Genomic DNA, 12,298 nt, shown 5'->3' with positions numbered 1-12,298 from the left:
ATTAGCCTTGCGATCCCGTGCAAATCATGTAACCTATTTGGGTACAATTCCGTCAACTGCAGAAGGCCTATCATGGAAACCGCCCTGCTTCCCTCCAGAGTTGTGAGGATTAAGAGAGTGCACTCAGAAAGTCAGGTACATCGAAGAGCGAGACGGACCGCTATGACGTAGGACCTGGGGCTGGCTGAAGGCTTGTGGGCGGGGCTTGGTCTTGAGTTTGCATGCGGCGACGGGATTGGTCAAGGAGAACATTCATGAAGCCCTCTCAAGGGCCCGCCCTAGATCTCACCGCGCTTGCGCACGTTCTGTTTGCTTCGCCGCAAAGTTACGTGTGACCTTGCGACGCGTGTTGCGCTCCGGTCGCATAAGCGTCAGTGCCTGTCGCTGCGGCTGCGTGGCGGGTTGTCCAGGTAACCACGGGAGTTGTCGCTGTCTAGGAGCATCTGAAAGACAGGTGTGCGTCATGCACTTGAAGCACCTGAGGACCCTGCTGAGCCCTCAGGTGAGGAATTGCGTGCCAGTCCCTCCCCCTTATGCTTTATGTTCCAAGAAAAGTGGGGGAACTGAAGTTTAATGATGTTGACCTCCTACTGTGTGCAGAAGGCTGTAAGGGATATAGCGATGATCTGGATCTTGGCCTGTCGATACAGCGTCCAGGAGGCGAGATGCAGGGCTAAGGACTTGTAGCTTTCCTTACATTTCATTCACATCAGTTGTGTACAGGCCCCATGCTGGGGTTCGTAGGAATCCCAAACCACCCGACTTATGTCCCTCCCTTCAGGAGGCTCGTATTAGAGGGTGAGGTGCACATGTAAGCAGCGAGTATGCATGTGCCCATAATTAAATAAGCGCCTTAGGTGCAAGCCCTGAAGGGGGAGTGCAAAGACCGAACCGTGTATTCTGATTCAGGAGAGGCTGGGCACTAGGGGAGGAGCCCTGAAACATGGTGAAGAAAGGGTGGGCTTTGGAGTTAGCACACCAGAATTTAAGTCCTAGCTCCACCACTACTTTCTTATTTTCTTTTTAAAATTTCTTACCTTGTCCTTATTTCAGGTCAACCACTACTTTATTTAACTATTTGAGACAGAGTTTTGCTCTGTTGCCCAGGCTGGAGTGCAGTGGCTCGATCTCACTGCAACCTCCGCCTCCCGGGTTCAAGGGATTTTCCTGCCATAGCCTCCCAAGTAGCTGGGATTACAGACGTGCGCTAGCACGCCCGGGTAATTTTTTGTTTCTTTGTTTGTTTTTGTTTTTGTTTTTTGTAGAGACGAGGTTTCCCCATGTTGCCCAGACTGGCCACCAGTACTTTAAACAAATGACCTGATATCTCTAACTTTAGCCTTTATTATACAATGTCTCGGAGCACTCACCAACTTCTTCATTTGAAAAAACATGAGTACTAATAGCAACTTTAGGGGACTTGGGGAAGAGTTATATAGAGTAATATACACAAAAGAGCATTGTAAACTGAAAAGCAGTGTGAAAAATTGATAGACAAGAGGAAAGGACATTCAAAATTCAAAGGACAGAATAATACAAAGCTAATAAGAATAAGATGTCTGGCCAGGCCCAGTGGCTCACACCTGTAATCCCAGCAATTTGGGAGGCCAAGGTGGGAGGATCACTTGAGCCCAAGATTCCAAGACCTCTACAAAAAAATTTTGACCAGGTGCGGTGGCTCACACCTGTAATCCCTGTACTTTGGGAGGCCGAGGCGGGCGGATCACCTGAGGTCAGGAGTTCAAGTCCAGCCTGGCCAACATGGTGAAACCCCATCTCTACTAAAAATGCAAAAATTAGCCGGGCGTGGCAGCAGCCGCCTGTAATCCCAGCTACTCAGGAGGCTGAGGAAGGAGAATCGCTTGAACCCGGGAGGTGGAGGTTGCAGTGAGCCGAGATCGTGCCACTGCACTCCAGCCTGGGGGACAAGAGTGAGACTTTGTCCAAAAAAAAAAAATTTTTTTTAAATAGCCTCGTGTGGTGGCAAGCACCTGTAGGCCCAGCTGCTGGGGTCACTGAAGTGGGAGGATCTCCTGAGCCCAGGAGGTCGAGGCTGCAGTGAGACGTGATCACACCACTGCACTCCAGCCTGGGTGACAGAGTGAGGCTGTGTCTTAAAAATAAATAAGATGTTCCATAACTGAGTGTGTAATATGTACTGGGGTACCTTAATAAAGAAATTGGGATTATGGTTTATGGATTTACACATACATGGATTTAATCATGGTTCTAGGCCAGGCGCAGTGGTTCATGCCTGTAAACCAAGCTCTTTGGGAGGCCGAGGCAGGCAGATCACCCGAGGTCAGGGGTTCGACACCATCCTGGCCAACGTGGTGAAACTACTAAAAATACAAAAATTAGCTAGATGTGGTGGCGCATGCCTGTAATCCCAGCTACTCGGGAGGCTGAGGCAGGAGAATCGCTTGAACTCAGGAGGCAGAGTTGCAGTGAGTCAAGATCGCACCACTGCACTCCAGCCTGGGTGACAGAGCGAGACTCTGCCTCAAAAAATAAATTAATTAAATAAATAAATCATGGTCCTACCACTTACAAACTGTATATGTGAACTTGGGCAAATTACTTAATCTTTTTGGGCTTCCATTCATCTATCTGTAAAAGGGGGATAATAATAGCATCTACCTCAGTGTTATGAGGTAAAATGAGATTATGCTTGTCAAGCACTTATCAAAATGCCTATTCTATGGTAAGTACTTGTTAAAGGCAAGCTCTTATTATTTTATTCCCTACCTCACTTAATAAAAAAATCTAGTGAGGTACATATTGTAGAGAAAGGAGAATTAATTGATTATGGAAATCAGGAAGGCTTCACAGAGGGTGTGGCATTTGGACAATAGGAGGAAATGAGAACACAGGCCGGGCGTGGTGGCTCACGCCTGTAATCCCAGCACTTCAGGAGGCCAAGGTGAGTGGATCACTTGAGGTCAGGAGTTCAAGACCAGCCTGGGCAATACGGTGAAACCATGTCTCTACCAAAAATATAAAAAAATTAGCCAGGCATGGTAGCACACGCCTATAGCCTCAGCTACTTGGGAGGCTGAGGCAGGAGAATCGCTTGAGCCCAAGAAACAGAGGTTGCAGTGAACTGAGATTGTGACACTGCACTCCAGTCTGGGGGACAGAGTGAGACTCCGTCAAAAAAAAAAAAAGAAGGAAATTAGAACAAAGATAGTTGTGCTCTCTCCTCAGTTGGAGAAAAAAATAAAAAGACAGAGATTTGTGCTCATTGCTCAGCAAGCTGTCCATTGAATCTGTACTTTAAAAATTTCTCCGCCCTAATGGAAAAATTGGAAATGAAATCCTCCTTCAGTCTCTCAAAATAAGATGATGTCATGATGCAGGTAGGGCTGAATGCCCAGAATTGGGCAAAGCGATAAAGCAGGAGGATCAGCAAAGATTGATGAGGAGCCCTCAGGCCTTCTAACCTAATATAATGAAGAGTTAGAGGATCATAGTGATGGTGGTGTGGCTATTTTCTGGTTTGAGGATTTGCAGGAAAATAGACTTTTTACTTCTGACTTTGGAGATAGGTGAGTTTGGAGTGTAAAGTGTCAATGTTTGAAGCCAGAACTCTAGTGTCCAAATAATTAAACAATTGGGGCAGAAGAAAAGCAGAATAAAATGTTTTGTTTTCAAGGAAGGAAACCCTTAGTAGCAGAGCTAGTCCCTTAGGACCAGAGCTAGTGTTGGAAGGGTCAGATCTGGTCAGAATAATTCACCTGGAGATAACTTCTAACTTGGGTTTCTCTGAAGTGGGTAGTTAAGAAGAAAAGAAAGTGGGATTATTCGTCCTGAGTCTCAACTCGTACTCGCCCATCCTGAACTCTCACTGTCTCTCCCTTTCCTTTCAAATAAGCCCAAACTCCTTTGCCTGGCTTCAAAGACTTCCTGAGCTGGCCTGTTTTTCCTGCCTTACCCCGTCTATTCTACTATTTATAAGGTATAATAGTTTCAAATAAACTAAATTACTGTTTCTTGTCCAGAATTTGCCTTTGCTCATTGCCATTCCTCCCATCTCAGATAACTTCCTACTCAACTGCATTCATTCTTCAAAGCTTAATTTTGATAATTTAAGCATAAAATTCTCTCAGGCTTCTCCAAACTATTGTAGTACTTTATACATACTTTAATAGGACTTTTCTATTTTGCACCATCTTATTAGACGTGGAGGCAGGATCTATGGTTTGCTTTTTGTCTCTCTCTCAGCCCCTGGCCAAGTGCCTTGATCAATAAGGTGCTAAAAAAATATTAATTGAATGAATGGCTAATGACCAAAACTTACCAGACTAATTGAATTTATTTCAGTAGCAGACCTGGAAACGAGGAGGCCGTTGCAGGGATTCATTGATACAGTTGACTTAGCACCCTGCCTCTTAGTGCATTTGCATATGAGTCTCTAGAAGCCTGTTGTTCTCACAGTCCAGGATCTGAAGGCCTTGGAGACCAGCATGGGCCACAGGCATCTCTTTGTTTTGAGGATAGAACCGTGACAGGAAGAAAATTGACCAGTATTACACTAGAATTAATGAAGCTAGAAATGCTTTTGGCATTCTAGACCAGCACATGGGTTTGTTTTTACCCCTTTGCCTCTACAGGATGGAGCTGCAAAGGTGACCTGCATGGCTTGGTCCCAGAACAATGCCAAATTTGCTGTCTGCACAGTGGACCGAGTGGTCTTGCTGTATGATGAACATGGAGAACGGAGAGATAAATTCTCCACCAAACCAGCTGACATGAAGGTAAACAGTGTATTCATGTGTACCTTATTTAACCTATTGATGGGGTCTCACAACTTGAAAGACGTAGTCTGCCTTCTAGCCATCAGCATAGGAAATGGCATACCCCACCTTTTTCTCAGTATAAATCCTCAAGCTCCCTTAGGAGCACACATATGCCTTTTTTTCTCTTTTCTCTTTCATGTGTACTCATTACTTCTTTTTCTTTCTTTTTTTTTTTTTAAACTCTTAGTATGGCAGGAAGAGCTATATGGTGAAGGGCATGGCTTTTTCTCCTGATTCCACTAAAATTGCCATAGGACAGACTGACAACATCATCTATGTCTACAAGATTGGAGAAGATTGGTGAGGATAGAGACTGGGAGATGGGATGGCCCAGGAAAGAAGGGGAAGGCAAGAGAAATGCCTCACTGGGGAGGGGAAATACAGGGGATGAGAAGCCAAGCTTGGCCATTGAAGGCAGAGACTTTCTGGAGTCTGTTTTTGCTTTTCTGCCTTCACCTGTCCCACGTGTTCTTCAATCCCATCCCTGGAGGAAACAGTCCAAGGTCAACAGGAGGCCCTGTGAGATCCTGGAAGCCCAGAGTGATGTCACATCTTTGTTATTGTTCTGAAGCTGCTTAGGCTCCCTCATATACCTCCTTTCAGGGCTCCTACAGAGTAGTCAGAAATACTACTGGGCCAGGGAAGAAATCTGCTCTTTCTTCTCTTCCCTCAGCATCATTTTTGGCAATTTGTTTATGGAAGTGGTATTTATTTATTTATTTATTTTGAGATAGAGTCTCACTCTGTCACCCAGGCTGGAGTGCAGTGGCGCGATTGTGGCTCACTGCAAGCTCCTCCTCCCAGGTTCACGCAATTCTCCTGCCTCAGCCTCCCGAGTAGCTGGGACTACAGGCGCCCACCACCACACCCGGCTAATTTTTTGTATTTTTAGTAGAGACGGGGTTTCACTGTGTTAGCCAGGATGGTCTCGATCTCCTGACCTCATGATCCTCCCGCCTCGGCCTCCCAAAGTGCTGGGATTACAGGCATGAGCCACCACGCCCGGCCTGGAAGTGGTTTTTAATATGTTTCCCCTTCTTTTGTTTGGCAGGGGTGACAAGAAAGTCATCTGCAACAAGTTCATCCAGACGGTAAAGTTCAGACCAGTCCCTGGAACCTTAGGATGAACAAACATATATCAGTATATCTACTTATAAATACAGCCAGGAGTTGCATTTCTAACATCTGAATGTGACTTTTCCTACTGCAAGGATGGTGCTTCATGGCTGTTCATGGTCATCTGCTGTCTTCCTTAGAGCCCTGCTGTGTCCTTCCCTATAGGAGATTGAGGTGGTGGTGTGTGGTGGGGTGTTGAAGTTGTTATAAAAGTGCTGGCCCACACAGATGGGGTTATCCTTTTCATTGTTTCCTTCCACGCAGAGTGCTGTCACTTGTCTGCAATGGCCGGCAGAATACATCATTGTCTTTGGACTGGCTGAAGGGAAGGTAAAAGAGGGAAGGGAAACACAAGAGAGGGGGTGGTAGGGATAATGGTTCTGGAGAGAGGAATATGGTTCATCCTCTTTCTTAGGATCAAGTTGCGTACTGGGGAGAATGCATAGGGACCAGTTTTGTGGGACAGTTTTTCCTTTTTTTCTTAGGGCCTAGTTAAATATAAAATAGCCTAACCATACTTGTATCAATTTTTCCATTTTCAGGTTCGTTTAGCAAACACCAAAACTAATAAATCATCTACCATCTATGGGACAGAGTCTTACGTGGTGTCCCTGACAACAAAGTGAGTAAAGAGGAGTAGTATCACTAGAGTCTGGAAGTGTTAGGAAAATGCTGTGGGGAAGTCTGGACTGCAAGACCATAGTATGAAAGGCAGGAGAACTGGTAGCAGGAAGCACAGACAAGGTTGTGTTTGACAGAGAAAGGGGCTTTCTTGGTGAGATAAAATAGTCTCTTCCTGTATTTCTCTCCTTTCTCCTTTTTTAGTTGCTCTGGGAAAGGAATTCTCTCTGGTCATGCAGATGGTACCATCGTTAGGTATTTCTTTGATGATGAAGGCTCTGGAGAGTCACAGGTATGAATAAAGAATGTTGTGGGAGGCTTGGATTGCTTGAGTCCAGGAGTTTGAGACCAGCATGGGCAACACAGTGAAACCCTGTCTCTACCAAAAAAACAAAAAATAAATACAAAAATTAGTCGGGCATGGTGGCATGGGCCTGTAGTCCCAGCTACTCAGGAAGCCGAAGTGGAAAGATCACTTGAGCCCAGGAGGTTGAGCCTGCAAGTGAGCTGAAATAGCACCACTGCACTACAGCCTGGGTGACAGAACAAGACCGTGTCTCAAAAAAAAAAAAAAAAAAAGATGCTGTGGAATAGGGGATAAGGAAATTCCAGGAGCCCTCCTAGAGGAGGTTGGACTTCTAAGGCATTTGGATTGAGATACTAAGAGAGGAAGCTAGAGGAGAACTCAGGGACAGAGAAAAAGTTGGATGTGGCCACTGAGAGGATTTGTGTTTAGGAGCCTGGAGCTTACTGCTTATAAGAAGGGATGAATTAGGTGAAAGGGACCTTGAGACAAAGGGAAATAAAAACTCTTAGAGTAATGAAAAGTGAAAATTATTCCCATTTATGTAAAATATATATATTTATGTATGTAGATTCATAGAAAAAAGAGTTAATAGTTTACTCTGGAAAGGGGAAAGGAAAAAGATGGGGGATAAAAAGGAAACTTTCATGTTTTACTCTATATAATTGTGTGTTGTTTGAATCATTTACATTAAGAATTACTTGTGAGCCGTGCCTGTAATCCCAGCACTTTGGGAGGCCGAGGCGGGTGGATCACCTGAGGTCAGGAGTTGGAAACCAGCCTGACGTGAAACCCGTCTCTACTAAATACAAAAAAATTAGCTGGGCGTGGTGGCACATGCCTGTAATCCCAGCTTTCTGGGAGGCTGAGGCAGGAGAATCGCTTGAACCTGGGAGGCAGAGGTTGCAGTGAGCCAAGATCGCATGCCATTGAACTCCAGACTGGGCAACAAGAGTGAAATGCCATCTCAAAAAAAAAAAGAATTACTTGTATAGGCCGGGCACAGTGTCTCACTCCTGTAATCCCAGCACTTTGGGAGGTCAAGGCGGGTGGATGACCTGAGGTCAGGAGTTCAGGACCAGCCTGGCCAACATGGTGAAACCCCGTCTCTACTAAAAATATAAAAATTAGCCGGGCATGGTGGAACGTGCCCGGAATCCCAGCTACTCGGAAGGCTGAGGCAGGAGAATTGCTTGAACCCGGGAGGGGAGGTTGCAGTGAGGTGAGAACGCGCCACTGCACTGCAGCCCCGGCGACAGAGTGAGACTCCATCTAAAAAAAAAAAAAAAGAAGAATTATTCGTATAATACTGAAATTTGACCCTCCTTAAAAAAAGAAGCCCTATGCTCTTTGTGGGCCCAGACGGTGTTGGTTAATGTGTAGCACATCTCCTTTTCTGAGGAGCTTTACCAGGTGCATATTAAAAATTTCCAATACATGCTGGGCGTGGTGGCTCACGCCTGTGATCCCAGCACTTTGGGAGGCTGAGACGGGCTGATCACAAGGTCAGGAGTTCGAGACCAGCCTGACCAACATGGTGAAACCCCATCTCTACTAAAAACAGAAAAATTAGCCTGGTATGGTGGCACACACCTGTAATCCCAGCTACTCAGGAGGCTGAGACAGGAGAATCGCTTGAACCTGGGGAGGCGGAGGTTGCAGCGATGAGATTGTGCCACTGCACTCCAGCCTGGGCGGCAGAGTGAGACTCTGTCTCAAAAAAAAAAAAAAGAAAAAAGAAAATTCCAATATACAAGCATTTTGAGGTTTTTCTAGAGCACAAGGTCAACCCCTATGTGTATAGGGGTGTGTGTGTGTGTGTATGTGTGTGTGTGTGTGTGTGTGTGTGTGACAATTTGTGAAGAGTTCAGGATTAGGATGTGTTGGGATAGGGAAATGTTGGAAGAGATTTCTGCAGGGTATGATGGTCAGAGTGAATGTACCAGGTGTTGAGAGTGAGGAATTTCTCGGGTGGAGTCTTCGAAGAGTGATTGAAACCCTCTACTTCTGTCTTAGGGGAAGTTGGTTAACCACCCGTGTCCACCCTATGCCTTGGCATGGGCAACCAATAGCATCGTGGCTGCAGGCTGTGATCGGAAAATTGTAGCCTATGGAAAAGAAGGTCACATGCTACAAACTTTTGATTATAGCCGTGACCCTCAGGAGCGGGAGTTCACCACAGCTGTATCAAGTCCTGGGGGCCAGTCTGTTGTGCTAGGAAGTTATGACAGGTAAGTCCCCTTTCCAGTTTTATCTACTGCCTACTTTCCCTGCGAACACTCTCTGCTTTAGCCAAATTATTCTGAGCCAGAGTGCGAGACTGGAGCAGAATCAAATGTATGTATGTAATTCATGCGCTTTCCTCTTCCTGCTCCCGCTATCCATTGGTGTGCTGGCAGTTCCAAAATGTCCTGGGCTCTTGTTTTGTCTCTGTGCCGCTCCCTGCACTTCCACAGCAGAATTCATCTCTATTTTCTGTTTCCATTGCCCCCTTTGAGACCGCTTAGAGTTTCTCACATTATATTACAGTTTGTTGTTTGCAAACTACTGTTGTTTAGCCAGATAGATGGCTAAATCAGAGTCCTTGAGAAGGGGGCTTATTATTCATCTTTTCAGTGCCTAGATTAGCATCTATATGCTATATATATTTAAGATATGCTCAGATGTTTGGCGAATGAATGAATGAATGATGGAACAGCAGATAAACAGCCATGTTCCAGGTCTCATCATTTCTCTGGCATGTGTTTAACCCCAGCTTTATCAGTCCTGTCTTTCTATCCCCTTCAATCTTATGTCTCCTTGTATTCTCTTCTTTCTTCACTGACTCCTACCATTTATCTCCTTGTTCCATATTTTTTTGCTCCTAGTAGCTTATTTTTCTCACCTGCCCTGGTCTTTTTGTTTTCTCTGCTCCCCTCACTCTTATTCTGTTTTAGTTTTGCCTTGATTTTCCCAGCTTATTTCCTGTGCACCTTTATATCCTCTTCTGCTAGACTGCCTAGCTTGTCTGTTCTTTTTATTTCCTTTCTTTTCTGATATAGCAAGACTAATTTCCTTTGGTTATCAGCCCATTTGCACTCTTTAGCTCAGCCTCAATCTCTTCTAAAAGCCACATACTTTATTTCAGGCTTCGGGTGTTCAACTGGATCCCTCGAAGAAGCATCTGGGAAGAGGCAAAGCCCAAGGAGATTACCAATTTATACACCATCACTGCCTTGGCCTGGAAGCGGGATGGCTCACGGCTCTGTGTGGTGTGTTACTAGTAATCCCTTTCTGGATTGGTGACTTTCACCAAACTAGAAAAAAATCCTGCCTTATCCTAAAGCACTGTTCCCTGACACTATAGAATCTCCTCTTTCCTTTTGACCCTGACCTAAAATTCTGGCATTAAAGGCAGGAAAGAGAAATTCATACTTTACCCTAGGTCACAAAAGGGACAAAAAATTGTGTGTAGGCAGGGCTAGTTTTTCCCTTTTATCCCATTAATATGTTGTGCCCTTGAGTCCAATGATTGTAGCCTCTTTCCTTTTGGTAATTCCAAAAACTGCCAGCTCTTTCACTGCCAACTCTTCTCTAGACTCTAGAGCTTAGGTTTTGAGGATGTCTCTAGATACTCTCCCCATGCCAGTGTACTATGTGTGTGACCTTTTATGCTGTCACTTTCCCTTCTAGGGCACACTATGTGGTGGGGTGGAACAGTTTGACTGCTGCCTCCGAAGGAGTATTTACAAGAACAAGTTTGAGTTGACGTATGTGGGACCTAGCCAGGTAAGCAGGATGGTAGCCTACTGCACTGAGAACTTGCGTGGCTCATTCCTCCTTATAACATTTCCCTGCCTTCTGGCCACAGCCATAGTTCAAATTTAATCTTCATCCCTCTGGAAGAGCTGTTCTGGGCAACAGAATATGTCAGGGCAACACCGTGGTAACTTTCCTGCTGTAGTTCTTGCAGCTTATTATAAGAAAAGTTTTGGCTGGACACAGTGGCTCATGCCTGTAATCCCAGCACTTTGGGAGGCCGAGGCGGGCGGATCACAAGGTCAGGAGATTGAGACCATCCTGGCTAATATGGTGAAACCCCGTCTCTACTAAAAATACAAAAAAATTAGCCGGGCGTTGTGGCGGGTGCCTGTAGTCCCAGCTACTTGGGAGGCTGAGGCAGGAAAATGGCATGAACCCAGGAGGCGGAGCTTGCAGTGAGCTGAGATTGCACCACTGCACTCCATCCTGGGTGACAGAGCAAGACTCTGTCTCAAAAAAAAAGAAAAGTTTTAAGCACCAGGCATAAGGTGTGCAGAGATTGCCACTTAAGCCTTCCTGACTTAAAACTTTACTGGCTACACACTGGCAATTGGGCAGTTGGATAAATAGGATTATAAATGTGAACTCTGTTGTTTTAAGGCCTCTGAGCTCACTGTGTATGATGTTGCAAGCTAAAAATTTCTCAGTTCCTGGGCCCACTTTTCTCTTTTTTCTACCTCTGTCCTTCCATTTATTATACATTGGTTTCTTCATTCTTTTGTTCTTTCCAGAAACATTTATTCATTCTCTACTATGTGTCAGCAGTGTTAGGCATTGGGAATACACAGATAATTATCTGTAAGACATTGTCCCTTGATCAAAGAGATCATTATAACAGAGGACACAGACATATCAAAAAATAATATTAGCCAGATGCAGTGGCACATGCCTGTAGTCTCAGCTACTCAGAAGGCCGAGACAGGAGGATTGCTTGAACCCAGGAGTTCAAGGCCAGTCTAAGCAACATACTGAGACCCTGTCAAGTCAGTCAATCAACTGATCAATACATACACTGTGATCAATGATATATAAGGTTTGTACAAAGACCATGAGAACATAGAGTGATTGGTTTTACCCAGTGGAACTTTCAGAATTATATAAATTATGAGTGTCAAAAGAGATAATATAGGAAAGCATTTCATAAATAGTAAAGCCCCATATAAACATAAGATATCATTACTATCAACAATATCCTAGACCCAGGGAAGAAACAAGGTATTAGCTTTGTTTAGTGCTGTGGAGGTGGGCAAAGGTCATGGTTGTTCACCCTTCTTTTGGGCTGGGGAAGCCTAAGGGGCTCACACTTGTCCTTTACCAAGGTGATTGTGAAGAACCTGTCATCAGGAACCCGAGTGGTGCTCAAGTCACACTATGGCTATGAGGTGGAAGAGGTGAAAATCCTAGGAAAGGAACGTTACTTGGTGGCTCACACATCAGAAACACTGCTGCTGGGGGACCTGAACACTAATCGGCTTAGTGAGGTAGGAACCAAAATTGAGGGTAGGGTGGGGAATAGGGCATCTTGGCTTAATATTTGTGGGGACCCAAAATCCCTAGGGGTAAGCTCTCCATGAGAAGTTCTAACATTCTGGTGTAGGGGACCTGGTTTCAGGGAAGGAGACCCAGGAGTTTTATAATCCCAGAGTATGAATCACCA

The 12,298-nt window shown here is 45.1% G+C and overlaps 1 protein-coding gene across 9 annotated transcripts in view; it reads left to right on the top strand.

The window, feature by feature from the left end:
* IFT172 (intraflagellar transport 172) overlaps positions 374-12,298 on the top strand; it is a 45,367-nt gene continuing 33,442 nt past the window's right edge. For 6 of the 9 annotated variants that reach the window (XM_047443900.1, NM_001410739.1, XM_006711987.2 and 3 more), the window contains exons 1-11: positions 374-502; positions 4,614-4,757; positions 4,987-5,099; positions 5,851-5,890; positions 6,180-6,245; positions 6,458-6,537; positions 6,741-6,828; positions 8,857-9,071; positions 9,968-10,091; positions 10,513-10,608; positions 11,961-12,122. In XM_047443900.1, the coding sequence (XP_047299856.1) occupies positions 464-502; positions 4,614-4,757; positions 4,987-5,099; positions 5,851-5,890; positions 6,180-6,245; positions 6,458-6,537; positions 6,741-6,828; positions 8,857-9,071; positions 9,968-10,091; positions 10,513-10,608; positions 11,961-12,122 (1,167 nt within the window). In that variant the 5' untranslated portion in view covers positions 374-463. Of the gene's footprint in view, positions 503-3,874; positions 3,959-4,613; positions 4,758-4,986; positions 5,100-5,850; positions 5,891-5,950; positions 6,090-6,179; positions 6,246-6,457; positions 6,538-6,740; positions 6,829-8,856; positions 9,072-9,967; positions 10,092-10,512; positions 10,609-11,960; positions 12,123-12,298 lie in introns of those variants that run through there. The other 3 variants (XM_006711986.4, XM_047443902.1, XM_047443901.1) reach the window with 3 other exon arrangements.

Source organism: Homo sapiens, chromosome 2 (genome assembly GCF_000001405.40).
Source record: "Homo sapiens chromosome 2, GRCh38.p14 Primary Assembly".
In the NCBI taxonomy this organism is placed as follows: Eukaryota; Metazoa; Chordata; class Mammalia; order Primates; family Hominidae; genus Homo; species Homo sapiens.
The sequence above is the reverse complement of the archived record's forward strand: the minus strand, read 5'-3'. Positions and strand labels throughout refer to the sequence as shown.